We start from the raw sequence: 15,011 nt of genomic DNA on the forward strand, positions 1-15,011 counted from the left end.
CTCTCTCTCTCCGCTCTCCCACTTCCCTTTGTTTGTTAGATCAAGCGGTATTAATCTCTGAGTCCTCCAACCCTAGCTCTGCCTCTGGCAGGTGGTAAGCGTTCAGTAAAGTCAGCGTTGATTTAATAGATGAATTGCTTAATGGTGAACGAAGCCACTGCCACGAATGGAGAGACAGGATGATTTGCCTCTCTGGGCTTGGGGACTGATGTGTGATCCGGTTTTATTTGGGTCTTAGAGTACACTCCAGGCATGCTCCAAGACCCTGTCCCGACTTCGGGCTTGTTAACTGGGCGACACTGAGCACCAAGTAGGTGCGATCCCTGCCTTAGGACAGACACTGGCCCCCAAGGAGCGCCAGCCTGGAGGAGACGCAGCATCCATGGTGGAGGCAGAGGAGCAAAATGCCCTTGGGTTCGAATGGGCAGTTGAGGCTTCTCTGCGGAGGGCCTGTGTCTGCGTAATGGGATTTTTACAAGGAGACATGGGAGAGAGAAGACTCCAGAGATACACGGTCTTGCAGCCTCACTGGTGGTTTAGGTTGTGGGCTTTGGAGCCAGACAGTTCGATTTCAAATCCCTACTCACAACTATTAGATGTGTGATCATATTCAATTAACATTGTTAGCCTATTTGCCAGTAAACCTCAATAGAGTTGCTGTGAGGATTAGAAGAGGTAGTTTGGCTAAGGTGCTTGGGACAGTGCCTGGCACACGTTCATGCGTGTTTATACTTAACCCACATCTTTGCAGTGTCAGTGCTGTGTAGAGCCTCCCACAGGGCAGGTGATTTGGTTACATGAAGGCTCTTAGCAGGAAACCCCTAAGGGAAGCAAGGGAATGTGGCAACTGGAAATAGAACCAGTTTATAATCTTCCTTCCACATCCCTCAACTCCCATTCCCAAACATTTATTGCCGGCCCAATGGGTTCCATCCATTTCTACCCCTGCCATTCCATTCTCCCCTTCCCCCAGGCCCCTCCTCCCTGGAACTGCCCCGTATCTGTCCCAACAGCCCCCTTGCCCATTCCCCACTTTATTCCCTCCCCTCCCTGACACCCTGGGCAATGCTATGCTCCTCTGTCTGGGTTTTGCATTCCTGCCACTTGCTCCACCTCAGGGGTATTCAACACTGGCCACAATTGCTGGGAAAATGACAGCCTCGGCTTGGTCAGCTTCCACTGTTAGCCTCCCCATCTCCCCTGACTTAGCTGCTCCCATGTGGTGTGATTTCTCTCACCAAGTGTTGTTTTCCTTTTCCCTGCATGTGTTTGCACAGAATGCCATGAATTTGATATAGTGATTGCCTAACACATATACCACATAATAGTATTTTATTTCTTTCTGAAGCACTGTTTGCATGACAAATGAGTTGGTAACATTTGTGCAACTCCTTGCAGCTGTGCGGTTCAATATATAAAGAATGAGCCTTTCGGCATCAGTACTGGCCCCATGTATTCTAAGAGGGCTTGAAACTAATGCTTAAACAAAGTTATCGTTACAGCATTTCACAGAGTTATGGTCTATTTTATAACAATGGATCTCAGGGCGATTTAAAAATATGGACTGAACTGGAGCCACCCCCAGTGGTGGCACGCAATGTGGGCTTTGTCAGCTTCCTTGTGTTTGGGGACACTGCTGCCGCTCCACACACGTAGGGTCAAGTGGCCCACAGCCCCTCCCCCAGAACCCTGTTGTCTTCCCTGTGGTGTAGAACCCACTGTGCTTGGAGTTGTGGCCTTTGGCCACCCATGGTCAGCCCTTTTACCTCCATTGTGGCTTCTGGCTGTGGATGGCCTTGTCTTGCAGGATCTTACAGGCAGGCCTTTGGATGTGCACCAAGGGGCACCCAGTGACCACTTAACTGCAAATTTGCTGATCAATGCTCCCCTTCCCCACCCCCTCTGAGAAGGAACCTCACAAGTTAGTCAGGCGTTCCTCCCAGTTTTTGGGCCTTTCCATTTCATCCTGAATTCCCAGCTCCAGTCACGTTCCTGCCCAGATTTATAGCCCCTCTTTGGTTTAGTGAAGTTGGCGTGTTGCTTTTTGCTTTCCTCCACACAACCATCCACATGCTGCCCTCCACTTGGAAGGGCTCGACCTCAGCTCTTCTTTGCCACTGCTGCCCCTTCGGGAGCTACCCACGAAACCTGCCAGGGCTTCTGGCAGCCAGCCTTTCTGTGCCTTCAGCCTGGCTCTCCTGCTGGGCCTGTCCATGGCAGGAAGGCTTATTGTAAAGAAAAGGGCAATATTGCAAAGTCAGAGGCTGCTCTGCATGCCCTCCTTTCTCATCACTTTGCTGTGGGTTTTTTTTTTAAGGTGAGCAGCAGCTTAGGCTGTGGTCAGTCTTCCTGATGTATTAAAGGCAGAAGAGGAAAAACAAGCTCCAATATCTAAATCTACTTAGTAACCACATCCACACATTTATCAGAGGTGAAGGGCTGCTCTGAGCACGCTCTGGATTCCCGGGGGGCTGCCATACTCCCTTCCGTCCCGTTGACCTCTCTCTGTCTTGGCAGAGCCTTATAATAATCACAGCCATAAATCTTTTAGTGGGTTCCATTCTCTTCGTCCTCCTGCAAAAAGCCCTGCACACATTTATCAGGTCCTCAAAGATACTCAGGGACCACGGAATCGTCCTTGATCCACCTCATGGAGGGCCTCACGTATTGCCTCAGCTATTCAGGGCTTCCTTCAAACTACATTATAGGTGGCATTACAGTGGGGGCAGGGCACCGGGAGATTGTGGTTGAAAAGTGGGGGCCATGTGGGGCTCATATTTTGACTGGAATGACCCAGGAACACCCAGCTTCTCACTGCTCCATCTCAGTGCCTTATGGAAGAGGAGGACACTCTTTTCCTCTCTCTAGGTCTGAGGGTGCATCAGCTAAGGGGGAAAATGGAGTCACAGAGAAATGCCAGAATGGTATTTCATAATCTGTTGAAAATTAAACAAATCTCTCACTCTTTTGACTGCTCTCACACTTTGATATCCATGAGTAAGAGTTCCTTCAAAGGCATGGAATATATTACCGAATGTCAATAACAAATTGTGTATGAAGAAAAATGTAATGCTTTGAGAATATTTTCTTTTGGGCTTTGTCCATGATTAGATTACACTAAATTACAGCATACAGATATCAGGCAATTACTCTTTGCTTTTAACTATTCAATTTCATGGCAAATCCACATAGCGCAGTAATGCTAAAATCACACCGATGTGGTTACCAAGAAAATACCTCATCATCTCCATTTTGTGAAGCTAGGTTCAAGTTGCACTGTAATGACCTGTAGTCCTGTTAAGTGTAAAGTACATTCCAGATGAACATGGGGTAATCCGTACCTCTCTGTAATTGCCAGATATCTGGAGAGATTCTTGCAGATGTTGCTGGATAAGCCTGGGTGAGATGTGAAGAGGAATGGCATCTTTGCTCTCCTGGTTACTCTGGCTACCCTCCCTGTCTCTGATCCTGGTTGGTCTCTGGTCCTACTCATTCTATTGCTTTAACCAGGAGCATGTCTCCTTTTCTTCTGTTTTGTGAAAACATAGTCATTTTCTCTTCACTCAGCTCACAGAATCCTCCCCAACCTCCTCCCAATTTTAATTTCTTCCAAAGCTGTGGATATCCCATAAGCAATCAAGTCGGCTGTCCTGGAAACTGGAGGAGCTTGTTGGTGAAAAAAGAATTATTTGAGCCAATTGTGAGAAATCGAACAGTGGCAGGAGGAGGAAAACGAGAGAAGAAAGGAGCCGACACATCTAAACAAGCAGCCAGGGCACTGTGCATACAGATGTAGGTGGTAGCTGGGTCCCTGTTGCGGCTCATTACTGAGAAGCACATCAGAGGCCGCGGGGTGAGGGTTGGGGCTGCCGGGCGGCAATGCTGAGCTTTGAACGGGGCTTTTCTGCAGAATGGACAGCACCCTCTCCCTTCCCCAGTGCTGTAGTTGCTGAACCCATTCCCACCTAAACAGTGCAGACCTCCTGGGCAGAGTCTCCTGTGGGCCCCATGTCCCTCCATGGTGGGTGTCTATTTCAGTGAGAGGCTCTTCAACACCCAGAATCTCAGGGAAAATTCCCCAGCCAGTGCTGGGCTCCCCCCCAACCCAGAAATGGGCACCCCCTCTGGTGATAGGGGAAGGCGGTCTCCCTACAGAGGCAGATTCCAGCAGAGGGTGAGGGAAGGACACAAAATGCGTTTTCCACGGGGAAAGGGACCACCGTGAGCATCTCGTTTCTCTGCTTCTTGGAGTGTGTTACAGAAAATGGGGTGAACTGGCGTGGTGGAGCTCGGAAGGGCAAGGAGGAGCCTTGGATCCAGATCTTCCCAGCAGCAGGCTTTATAGATTTCTGTGTCTCCCCCGCTGCCCCCCGCATGCCCTTCTGCTGCAGCCCTCTCTCTCTATTACCGGGCATCTTGGCAGCATTTCCCGGGAACCTGCACCTGCTCTGGGGCTCATCGGTATATGTGCTGGAAATGCGTGTGAATGTTCAGCGTGGCGGGGGTGGGAGCCCATGGATGGTTTGAGTGTTTCTCAGGAGAATTCAGAGTACCTCAAATGAGGGTGCCTTGTTCAGCAGTGGAGTTCTTGTTCTGGTAACTACTTTCTGTGGCTAAGCCTGGGTGGAAATGCAGAATGGACACTGTATCTAATTGCTGGTAACCTATGGATGGAGGGAGCTGCAGTTCCAGTGTGGCCCCAGTTTATAAATACATGAACATTCATTAATGTAAAATTAAATTGGAATGAAATTTCCCATCCAGTTTTGTTTAGAAGGCAGAAATAAGTGGGTTGGCTGTGTAATTTTGCTGCGGATGCTGGAGTTGGTAGTCACAAGGTGCTAATAGTAATTTGCTCTTTGCTTGTGCCTCCATCCCAGATCTCGAGGCAGATATTACCACCTTGGTTTTGCACAGGCTCATTGAGGTTAAAGGGCTGGTTGGAAGTTACTTGGCAAGGGGTTGAGTGCGGAGGCCCTAAAATTCTCTGGCCCGTTAGACCTTGAGCTAGTCAGTAAACTAGAAATGGACCGAGACCCGGGAGACCTGAATTCCAGTCCTCACTCTGTCACTGACTCAGTGTGTGGGCAAAAAATGATCAGTTTCCTCACCTATAATGGAAGGGCCAGTGGTACTCTTCCACTTATTTGGATCTGAGTTAATATTTGAACTTAGACCTCACAAAAGGCACACAATGCTAATGTAAGCATCATTTATGGCCAACTTTCTCTGAGCTTTACTTTCCCCCCCTTTTTCTTGCGACCTGAGTTTGCCCTTTGGGAATTAAAATATTAAATAAGAGTCATTTCTGTATATTTCATGCTTTATTTGCTGGAGGGGAATTTGCTTTGGAAAGGGTGTTTTCCTTCCAAGCCCAGCTGGCAGGCTCTGTAAATTCCCAGGGCCTCACTTGGGCAGGAGGGGCCTCCCAAATCTGTCCACCTTCTCCCCAGCGTGGCCATCACTTGGCTGCTGGAGAAAAGCAGAGGTTTGCGCTCAGTACCATCATCAGGTCTGCTTATGAAACTGCCCTCTAAAACTTGCCTGCAGGTCGGAGGGAGGAGGGGGCACAAGGGCAGGCTGGGCGGGAAGGTGGGAAGTTTTGCAAGGAGCCTGCAAGCTGTCTGTAGCCTGGGGCAAGTCATTTAACCTCCCAGTTTCTCCATCACTAACAGCACTTCCTCGAGTCTCTCCTCTCCTCCTGGGGACTATGAGAAGTAATTAGTGGCTGTTTGTCAGAGGAGATGTAGCTTTGCTCAGGTAACTCGGGCAGACCTTGAACTGGGCAAGGCCAAATGGGGCTCAGGACTTTAATCTGCAGAATGAATGGGGGAAGGGAAAGCCTCACCAAGGTTCCCTTCGGAGCAGCCACCCTGTGGTGATGTTGTGGAAGGGAATGAAAATATCTGGAGCAGGGGAGTGGGGTGGGTAGCTGGGAACCCAGCCTGAGACCCGCCTCCCTGGAGAACTGCTGCAGCCACCAGCAGGTATCACAGCATAGCCCAGGGAGAAGACGGCTCCACATTCTCAAGTGCAAAGCAGCCAAACAAATTGCCACCCTGAAACCCTGCCTCTGGAGTATTAACGCCAGGGTGGGCGGAGGCCGGCCAAGCCACAGAGATGCCCGCCCTCCCCGTACCATGCTGGGGAAGCATCTCACTCAGCAGCCCTTCCAGGGTGGCCGGGTACTTTTCCAGCTGTCTGGAGTTCATCCTCATTCCAATTTCCAGAGGAGCAGTCAGCTGTGAAATAAGGCAGCGTTAACAACGAGGGAGAGGTGGAGAGGGCCCTTAACCCCTGGGTGCACTACAGGTGGCAGGAGGGACCCTTGGGAGCCACACCACCCTGCAGACCCCACTAGAGCCTCTAGGGATGGCTGGGAATTCTGCCACCTTCCCCTAATTCTAACCAGAGGGCTGGATCCTGAAGGTCACTGAGTCCTGCTGAGGGGATCAATACACCTTCCATAACGGGGAAGCTGGGACAGGAGGGGTGGGGTCAGCAGGAACCCCAGCAGGCTTTTCTCATGGGGAGGGAATTCACTCCCACCTCAACAATTATAGCCAACATTGTGGAGTCTTACCCTTATTCTAAGCTTTTTTTTTTTTTTTTTTGAGACGGAGTCTTGCTCTGTCGCCCAGGCTGGAGTGCAGTGGCGCGATCTCGGCTCACTGCAAGCTCCGCCTCCCGGGTTCACGCCATTCTCCTGCCTCAGCCTCCCAAGTAGCTGGGACTACAGGCGCCCGCTACCACGCCCGGCTAATTTTTTGTATTTTTAGTAGAGACGGGGTTTCACCGTGTTAGCCAGTATTCTAAGCTTTACACTTATTCTAAGTGCTTTATGTATGTTAACCTCTCAATAGCTCTGTGGGGTAGGGATGGTTAGTGTTCCCATTTTGCAGATGAGGAAACTGAGGACAATGAGATTGAGTAACTTGCTCAAGGCCGCACAGATGGTAAGGAGCAGAGGAAGAAGACGGTACACCCAAGGGGCCTGGCTCCAGGGTCTGTGCCCACAACCACCAGGCTACCTTTCCTCTTGTTGTCTGGAGACTCTCCACCAAAGAGGTAGTTGCAGCCTTGAGGCAGAGCCTAGGGCGCTGATTGATCTCCCCGTCCCCGCTCCGCAGAGCTTCCTGGATCAATGCTCTTGCTGCACAAACTAGCCAGCAGACTGGGAGACTCCTGGCCTCTCGGGAGAGTTGCCCTGGAGGAGTCCCAGCACCTGCTCCCCTGCCTCCCACCGGGCTCCCTGGGTTCCAGGAATGGGCCTCCTAGACGCTTGGGGGCTCAGGGTGCCTGAAGGGCATCTGAAGGGCCCCAGTCCAGTTCTGCCTGTGCCGTTCCCAGCTGTGGTTATGCCTCTCCCTCTAGACCCTCCAGCAGGGTCCTTACTTAACACAAGGAGGCTGGACTGGACAATCCCAAAGGGCCCTCTCAGCTCTGTATGTTGTGGTTGTAGGAGATGGAAAGAGGTGAGAGGTGCCCCACCCAAGCCTCCCCAAGAAGGCTTCATGGACATACAATGTCCCCGGGCAACCTTGGAGTTAGTGCCTCAAACTCCGACTCAGCTGCATTTAGGAGGTGATTCTGAGTGTGCTCCCTGCTCACCAGCTGCTGGATTCCCTCCCAGCTCCCTCCTCAGGAGCCCAGGGAGTTCGGAGTGGATATGGGGGGAAAGGGGCCCCACCTCGCTGAGTGCAGAGTGCGGCAACAGCACCCAGGTTGTTTTCTGGGCCCAACAGCACCGGGAAAGATCACTGGCCTGTGTCCAGTGGGAGGTGGGAGTCCAGCTGGGTTCTGCCCTGACTCCTGTGTGACCGTGACAAGGCCCCTGCTCTCTCTGGATGTCAGTCTTCTCGCCCCTCAGGCCCCTTTATGTGGTAGCGACCCACACTCAGGTCTGGGCCTCTTCTTTTCCATCCACACCTGTCCCCTCAAATGGCTCACCCAGGCCTAGCTTGAAATTCCCTCTAACCACGGATGACTCCTACATGTGAGCCTCCAGCCCTCACCTCTCTTCTGAACTCCAAACTTGTGTGTCCACCTGCCTGGGCAATGTCTCTGCCTGGATGCCCAAGAGCATCTCGGTTTTCAGGCCCGATCTGACTCCCTGATCTTCCTCCTGCCATCCTGCAGCCAACCACAGGCTACTCTGTCTCCATGAGTGGCAAATCCGTCTTTCAGTTGTTCTGGCCCAAACCCTTGAAGTCAATTTTCACTTTTTCTTTACATCCTATATCCATTCTTTAGCAAATCCTGTGGGCTTCTACCTCCAAAATATTTTAAAAATCCAACCTCCTTGCCCTGCCTCCTCCAAGACCGCCCGAGGCCGAACTCTCTCTCTCTCTTTTTCTCTGTCTCTCTTAGACTATAGCAGCCTCCTCAGTGGCCTCCCTAAATCTGCCTTTGTCCGGTCCCTTCAGTCTGTTCTCAGCAGCTGGAGAGACCCCTTTAAAATGTAAATCAGATCCCATCCCTCCTCTGCTCAAAACCCCCAAGGCTCCACTTCAGCAGAATGAATGGAGAGTCCAGTGGCCTGTGAAGTCCACAGTCTGCCCCTACCCCTCTACCAGTCTCTCTGGCCTCCTCACTCTTCCTGAATGCACCAGGCCCTCTCCTGCTTCAGGACCTTGGCACTGGCTGTTGCTTCCACCTGGAAGGCTCTTCCCCCAGAAATCCTTGTGGTTCATGCCTTGCTCTCTTCTGGTCTTTGTGCTGCTACCGTCTCCTAGGACACCTGCTGTCGCCCACTGAGATCCATAACCCACCGCGTCTCCTTGCGGCTCTGTTTCCCTCCATAGCACATGTCATTGCCTGCCACACTGCTGAGTTTGCTTCCTGTCTTTACCTTGTTTGTGGTCTGTTTCAGTCGTCCTAGGATCTTGTTTCTTCTTTCCTATGGAGTGTGAGTTCCACAAGGGCAGAGATTTTGTCTGTTCACTACCCTGTCCCCAGTGCCTGGAACAGTGCCTCAGACCTAGTAGGGGTTCATTTATTGATCACCCAAATAAACGAGTCTGTGAAATAAAAGAGCTCATGGGACAAGCTCAAGGTTCTCCCCAGCCCCAACAATCGGCCCTGGGTGTTGAGGCCTGTGGCTGGCTCCTGGGTTTCTGTCTGGGAGGGGAGGAATTGGCACCCTCGCCACCTCTTTGCCGAAGACTGTAGCGCCTCCTGCCTGGCTTCTTGCCTCCACTCATGCTGCCCCAGCTCTAAGAGGGCTCCGGTGGCTTCCCTGCTTTGAATCCCCAGTGGCGCTGCATGCAGGCCCTGCCTGGGCTGGCCATGCTGACCTCTCGCCCACTCGACTAACCCCTGCCACAAGGGCCTGTCGCCCACCGGTGTTCCTCAGTCTTTGCACTCACTGTTCCTTCTCCCGGGAGGCCCTTGCTCCAGCTGTTTGCACAGGTGGCTCCTTCCCTTCATTCAGGTTTCAAATCAAATGTCACCTCCTCCAAGAGGCCTTCCCTGACCCGTCTCAGGGACAAAGCAGTCTCCCAAACCCCACTCAGTCACTCTCCTACTTCCTTATCTGGTGCCTGAAATGGTTGATTTATCTCGTTGCTGGAGTCCGTCTCTCCCTACGAGGATGGAGCTCATTGCCTGGATGTCTTGCTCACTGCGATATCCTAGGACACTCTGAGGCTCACTGTGGCTTGTGGGCTCTGCCTCCAGGCCAGGCAGGGGAATGCATGCCCTGCTCTGAGTTTCTCTCCTTTGTCCCAGTTGTCTGCTCACCTTGATCATTTCGTTTTCTTCTTCCCTGATGGGCTCCGCAGGGTCTACAGGACCTTCCTCCCCAGACCTCTGCCATACACTCAGGGATTTCTTTTGCCCTTTATTCCGTTCCTTTTCCTAGGGGCAGAACAGAAAATTGCACAAAACCGCCCTCCCTCAACCCACGCTGATGGCCCCTTGCCTGTCTCCATCTGCCCAGGGTGCTGTCTGCCCTGAGCTCCCTACAGACTGAAAGAACCCTTTCCTCCAGGAGCCTCCTGCACGAGGAATCTCAGATACTAACTAGTGGCTCATGGATGTCCCTTGAGGTTGCCCACCAAGGGCCTTGCTCTTCAAGGTCAACTTGAAGAGGAATCCATTCCTTTGTAGTTAAAACATTGCACCCAGATTGTTACTGTTAATTAACTTAAAAAGCTGAAAATAATGCCTGCCCTTCATGCATATTAAGTGTGAAAATGTGTCTTTCTTAGCAGAGAGCCTATAAAAAAGGTAGTGAGACAGCCTAGCCTGGGAGGGTGCCATGGGGTGGCCCGGGAACTCAGAGTCCCTGGGAGGTGATTTATAAGAGGCAAGACAAGAGATAAATTATGGAGGAGGGAGTTTGTAGCTTCTTCATAAAAATCCTGGTGCCTGGCAATTATGAGGAGAAAAGCCATGGAGCAGATTAATGCAGTGTCCTTTGCTTGCTATTTTGCTAGTTTATGTTCCATTGGGTTTGACTGTTCCTGTCCAGCCCCCAGTCTTGCCCGGCATGCTGCTGGCCAGGTCCCTGAGCACTGAGATCCTCATTCCTTTGCTTTCTCTAATGACACTCTTGGGACTCTGCTGTTGGCCTGCCCTGAGACGTGGTGATTCTAGAACAAACAGTCATCCTGTGGGGAGTGTGCTGGCGTGGAGGAAAGTGTGTTGGGGCCTGCTGCAGTACCTACCCAGTTCCCATGTCTGCTTGCAGAAGGGGAGCTGGATTCAGCCTTGCCTCTAAAAAGAGCCCTGTTCACTGGGAATGTGGATCCCCACACACCTCCCCACATAAAGTGGGCAGTTGCAGACAGGCTGTGCCCCAGAGCCTCGAGACCTCCCTGGGCACTAACTCATGTATTCATCCCTATTGGAGTCTCAGTTTCAGACAGGGTGGAGCATGAAAGTCCCTTTCTTCATCTCCTTAGGTTAAAGGGAACCAAACATCTGCATAGATACTCAGCGTCCCCTGAAGTCTAAAGTAAAAGGCAGCAGGGAGGCAGAGCCAGCAGTTCCATTTTCCTTAGGCTCCACTGCCTGAGTTCCATGAGGCCTGCCTTTTTTTCTTCTGGGCCCTAAAGAGGAGGCTTTGGCCACTGCTACATGGACCGCAGCCTTGTTTCCCGCCTCTGGGCGCTGGCTCCCATTGGTCCCTCGCTCTTGATCTCTCAAGGCCCCCAGCTGAGTTCCACCTTTTCCCTGCAGGCTTCCAAGCACGCTCCAGCCCTTGGTGATTCTCCTTCCTTGAACCTGAGCACTTAGCATCAGCACCACTGATGGGGCAATTCATCATGTCCTGCCTGTGACATCTCTCTTTTGTCTTCGACTGTTAGTTAATTTTTCATATGTTCGTATCTTGGCACCCCAGCCTTCTCCCTGGAGATGGGGAGGTGCTGAGATTCTTCTGCATGCTCGGGCTCATCGCCCAGGGTGGCCTCTTGTACTGCAGAGCAGCTCGGTAAATATTTATTGGCTTGTTAATTTAAAATTTCCTCCAAAGGATAGGCAGGGGTGGGAAAGATGTTGCTCATACGAGCCACTGACATATCTGAGTGATGCCAGTGAAGGCGTGAAGGTGGCCAGAGAGGTGGCTGGAACTGGGGGTTATCTTGGGTCCTGGTCCTTTACACTTTCCTTGGTATCACCGGCATAGGTCATAGTGACCTCAGCCTTGCTAGCAGGGCAGGCAGCAGGGGGTTCTTACCTGCATCCTCTGGAGTTCGCCATAGGTGAAGATGGGGACGAAGGCTTCCGTCTGGGAGGCCAGCATGGCAGCTACATGCACCACCAGCAGAGCAGCCACAGCCTTACGGGATACCATCTTGGAGCTGGACAATGACAAGGAGCTCTTGTCACTAAGTTTGGGGTACAGTGGCAGACTGCTGTGTCCGAGGCAGGGGCCCTCAGTTCTGGCCCATGCCCTACCTCTAGCTGTGTGATCTTCAGCCAAAGCTCAGCCTGTCTGGATTTGGGCCTGGTATCAGAGCTTGAGCAGATGAGCTCTGAGCACCTTTCTGCCCCAGAGCTGTGGCAGCTGGCCAAGCTCCTGGGAAAGGCCATCCAGCTCCCTGCCACACACCAGGGAGGAATCATTTCACTTGTCCACCCTTCTCTTTTGTTACAGGTAAGGTCTTCTGGGGTCAGCTGGACTCATAAGGCAGGAGGGACCTCATCTTTCAGAGAAGGAATGCCTAGATTATCAACAGAACTGTGCCCCAAGACCCAGAGAGACCTCCCTGCCCCAGTGCCTATTAGAATGACAAAAGGGGTGGACCCAAGCCCAGATGACCAGGGCTCTGCCTGGAAGTGCCAGGCCAGGACCCTGGGTCTGTAGAGCCTCTGCCATTGCAAAGGATGAGCCAGATGGAAAAATTCAGCATGGAGCTGTATCCCTGAGCCAAGAGGGCACCCCCTTCCCCGTTGGGGGAGCGATGGCTTGGGAACAAGCCCCCCGCCCCGTGCTCCAGTGCATCTAGCTGCCTTTGGCCACCATCCTGAAACAGCAGGGAGCAGGCTTCCTCTTTCCTCACACCCTGGAACCCAGTGATTGCTGACCAGGAAGCAGGTATGTGTGGAATGGCTGGTAGGACATTGGGCTTTAGTGGGCTTTTGGAGCTCGGGTCCTGGCAGGGAGCAGGTAGGCATGGTGACTGCAGGGGTGCAGAGCCTTGAGAAAGGGTCCACTGGGCAGACTTTGGGCAGGGACAGGGTGGTCCTGGGGTGGGGGTGGGATGGCCTAGCTGAGTGCCAGCCAAGGTTGACTCATTCAAAGGCAGCAGGGGCTGGAACCTTGGCCTTTTGAGGCCCAGTGCTTTTCCCAATACCCCACTCTACGTTGCCTCTGCCCATAGTAGGCAGAGGAAGGCACAGGGGGCAGGCCTGTTGAATGCATCTTGGGCACCACTGTTCCTGCGCTGGGTGGACTGCTGAGTGCAGGGGCCAGGCCTCCAAGCAGGGAGGGGAGGCCGGGACAGCCCCTCCAGCAGTAGGGGTAGGGGTGGAGGTAGTTACAAGGTTTCAGATAAAGCGCTCCTCCAGTCCCCAGGCAGCCTGGATTCTGTCGGCAGGAGAGGGTCTGCCCTGGAAAGGCCTCGGGGCTTCTCTGCAGGTCTCAACCTGGCTCCCCCTTTGAACAGAACCTTCCAAGGCTGCAGGCTTGCATCCTGCCTCTCAGCCAAGACCTGTCTCCTCAGTCATCTGAAACCACCCTACCACGCCAGACGCTCCCTCTGCCTTCTTGCTATTCCAGCTCTCTCTTCTTCCCACTTCCTATTTTCTCTCCATTTTGTTCAAACTCCATGAACAAGAACAACAGAGCTCAGACAGCGAAAGCCTCCCCATCCCAGCTGTATGCAAATTCCCAGCAGGCTGAAAGGACCACCCGCCCACCCAAGACCACCTCCCAGGAAGCCGAGGCCTTGTGTGCAGCCCCAGAGGAGCTTGAGCTGAACGGAGAATGGGTTGAGGTGGGTGGGACCCATCACTGTTCTTCCCTTCTCATTCCTGCGCGTTCCCTGAAGAGTCTCTGGGGCCTGCTTTTCCCCCCAGCAGAGACGGATGTGTCACATTTATGGCATCCCATTTCCTTCACAGAGAGGCTATAGATCCTGTTTCATTCTGGTGTATTTAATTCACTCCATAGGAATCAATAAAAACTTTAAATTAAAAAAAAGGCAAAATCCAATTGCTTCTCATTTTCTTGATCCAACTGGCAGTCGGCATGTCACCTACGTTCATGTGTGTTCTGGTGAGCTGGAGGTGGGAGAAGGAGCTTTTCATTGTACAGTGAGGCACTAACTTTCCTTTCCCATCATCAGAGATGGGGGGCTTCAACCTTCAAGTGTCCAGCTCTGCATGAAGGGGGTGACCGTCTGCCCTCCCTTGCAGCACCCCTGGCCGGGCTAGCCTTGCCTCCCCATGTGCTCTCCCTCGGGGTCAACTTTTTCTTTTCCTTTTCTTTTCTTCTTTTTTTTTTTTTTTTCTGAGATGGAGTCTCGCTCTGTCTCCCAGGCTAGAGTGCAGTGGCGCGATCTCGGCTCACTGCAACCTCTGCCTCCCAGGTTCAAGCGATTCTTCTGCCTCAGCTTCCTGAGTAGCTGGGACTACAGGCATGTGCCACCTCGCATGGCTAATTTTTGTATTTTTAGTAGAGACAGGGTGTCACCATATTGGCCTGGCTGGTCTCAAACTCCTGACCTTGTGATCCGCCCACCTCAGTCTCCCAAAATGCTGGGATTACAGGCATGAGCCACTGCAGGGCCAAATTTTTCTTACCTTTCCAGAGCAAAGCCACCATGCCAAGAGGGGCCCTGCGCCCATGATGAGCTCTGGCTTGGGTTCCCGGCCCACCGTGGATGTGCCAGACCCACCCACAACAGCCTCTGCTTTGCCAGGAGTTGTACCCACCTGCTTGCCTCCAGCGTCTGTGCCTCAGCCCTGCCTCTGCTCACTGATGCCCTGGGAATCAGCGCGGGCACTCAGTGCGAAGCCCGGCTGGGCACTGGAAGGTGGCAGAGGGCCCTGGACCAGGCTGGCTCTGGCTTGCACCAGCGTTCTGCTTTAGGGCTTATGCTGACCACTCCCCACCCACTTTCTCCAAGGGCTACTTACGGCGTGCACGTGGTCTGAGTGGGTCTGGAGGAGTCTCTCTGCTTGTCTTCTGGTGTCCGGCTGATCTGACGGGTTCTTATATACCTCCCAACCCTGGGAGCTGCCCTTGGAGCCCATTAACCTTTGACCACAGCTTTGGGGGCCCTCAGAGGGGGAGCCTGGATTCTTGAAGCTCGTGGAAACTCCAGGCAGGGCTAGCCACGCTATGGGCTTCCAGGGCTTTCCTGGAAGGAACAGCGACAGTCAGGGTTCGGTGGAAGCTAGCCCCCACCCAGATGGCATTCTCCCGTCCACTGAAAACTCAGCTGCCTCTCAGAGGTCATTTTAACAAAGCCTTTTCTTTTTTTGTTCCTTAAATATATGACATTGGTGAGCGTCTGCAGGCCAATGCTCTAGTGATCAGATTTTCTGTCGGCCTGTCA

The 15,011-nt window shown here is 52.6% G+C and overlaps 1 protein-coding gene and 1 long non-coding RNA gene across 4 annotated transcripts, besides 1 other annotated feature; one reads left to right on the forward strand and one right to left on the reverse strand.

Moving 5' to 3' along the window:
• Nucleotides 15-13,663, forward strand: LOC105375024 (uncharacterized). The gene is made up of 3 exons (XR_926707.3): nucleotides 15-3,792; nucleotides 12,104-12,544; nucleotides 13,116-13,663. It is a non-coding gene; the product is annotated as an uncharacterized LOC105375024 (long non-coding RNA).
• Nucleotides 1,193-1,796: an enhancer, noted in NCBI's record as "H3K4me1 hESC enhancer chr6:33758333-33758936 (GRCh37/hg19 assembly coordinates)". NCBI's record gives its function as "activates a minimal SCP1, AML or CMV promoter by ChIP-STARR-seq in naive H9 embryonic stem cells {active_cell/tissue: H9 hESC(naive)}" and the evidence as "EXISTENCE:reporter gene assay evidence [ECO:0000049][PMID:30033119]".
• MLN (motilin) lies at nucleotides 5,310-14,640 on the reverse strand. 3 transcript variants are annotated; one of them, NM_001184698.2, is made up of 5 exons: nucleotides 14,590-14,640; nucleotides 11,684-11,807; nucleotides 9,742-9,858; nucleotides 6,161-6,242; nucleotides 5,310-5,472 (listed from the first exon to the last, which is right to left on the reverse strand). In NM_001184698.2, exons 2-5 carry the CDS (start codon nucleotides 11,798-11,800, stop codon nucleotides 5,462-5,464), a joined length of 327 nt encoding a protein of 108 aa, NP_001171627.1. In that variant the 5' UTR covers nucleotides 11,801-11,807; nucleotides 14,590-14,640; the 3' UTR covers nucleotides 5,310-5,461. The 3 variants fall into 3 exon arrangements, with proteins under 3 accessions (NP_001171627.1, NP_001035198.1, NP_002409.1); NM_001040109.2 differs by having other exon boundaries at nucleotides 5,310-5,469; nucleotides 6,140-6,242; NM_002418.3 differs by having other exon boundaries at nucleotides 6,140-6,242.
• Nucleotides 14,641-15,011: the final 371 nt, after the last annotated feature.

This window comes from Homo sapiens, chromosome 6, assembly GCF_000001405.40.
Source record: "Homo sapiens chromosome 6, GRCh38.p14 Primary Assembly".
NCBI classification, from domain to species: domain Eukaryota; kingdom Metazoa; phylum Chordata; class Mammalia; order Primates; family Hominidae; genus Homo; species Homo sapiens.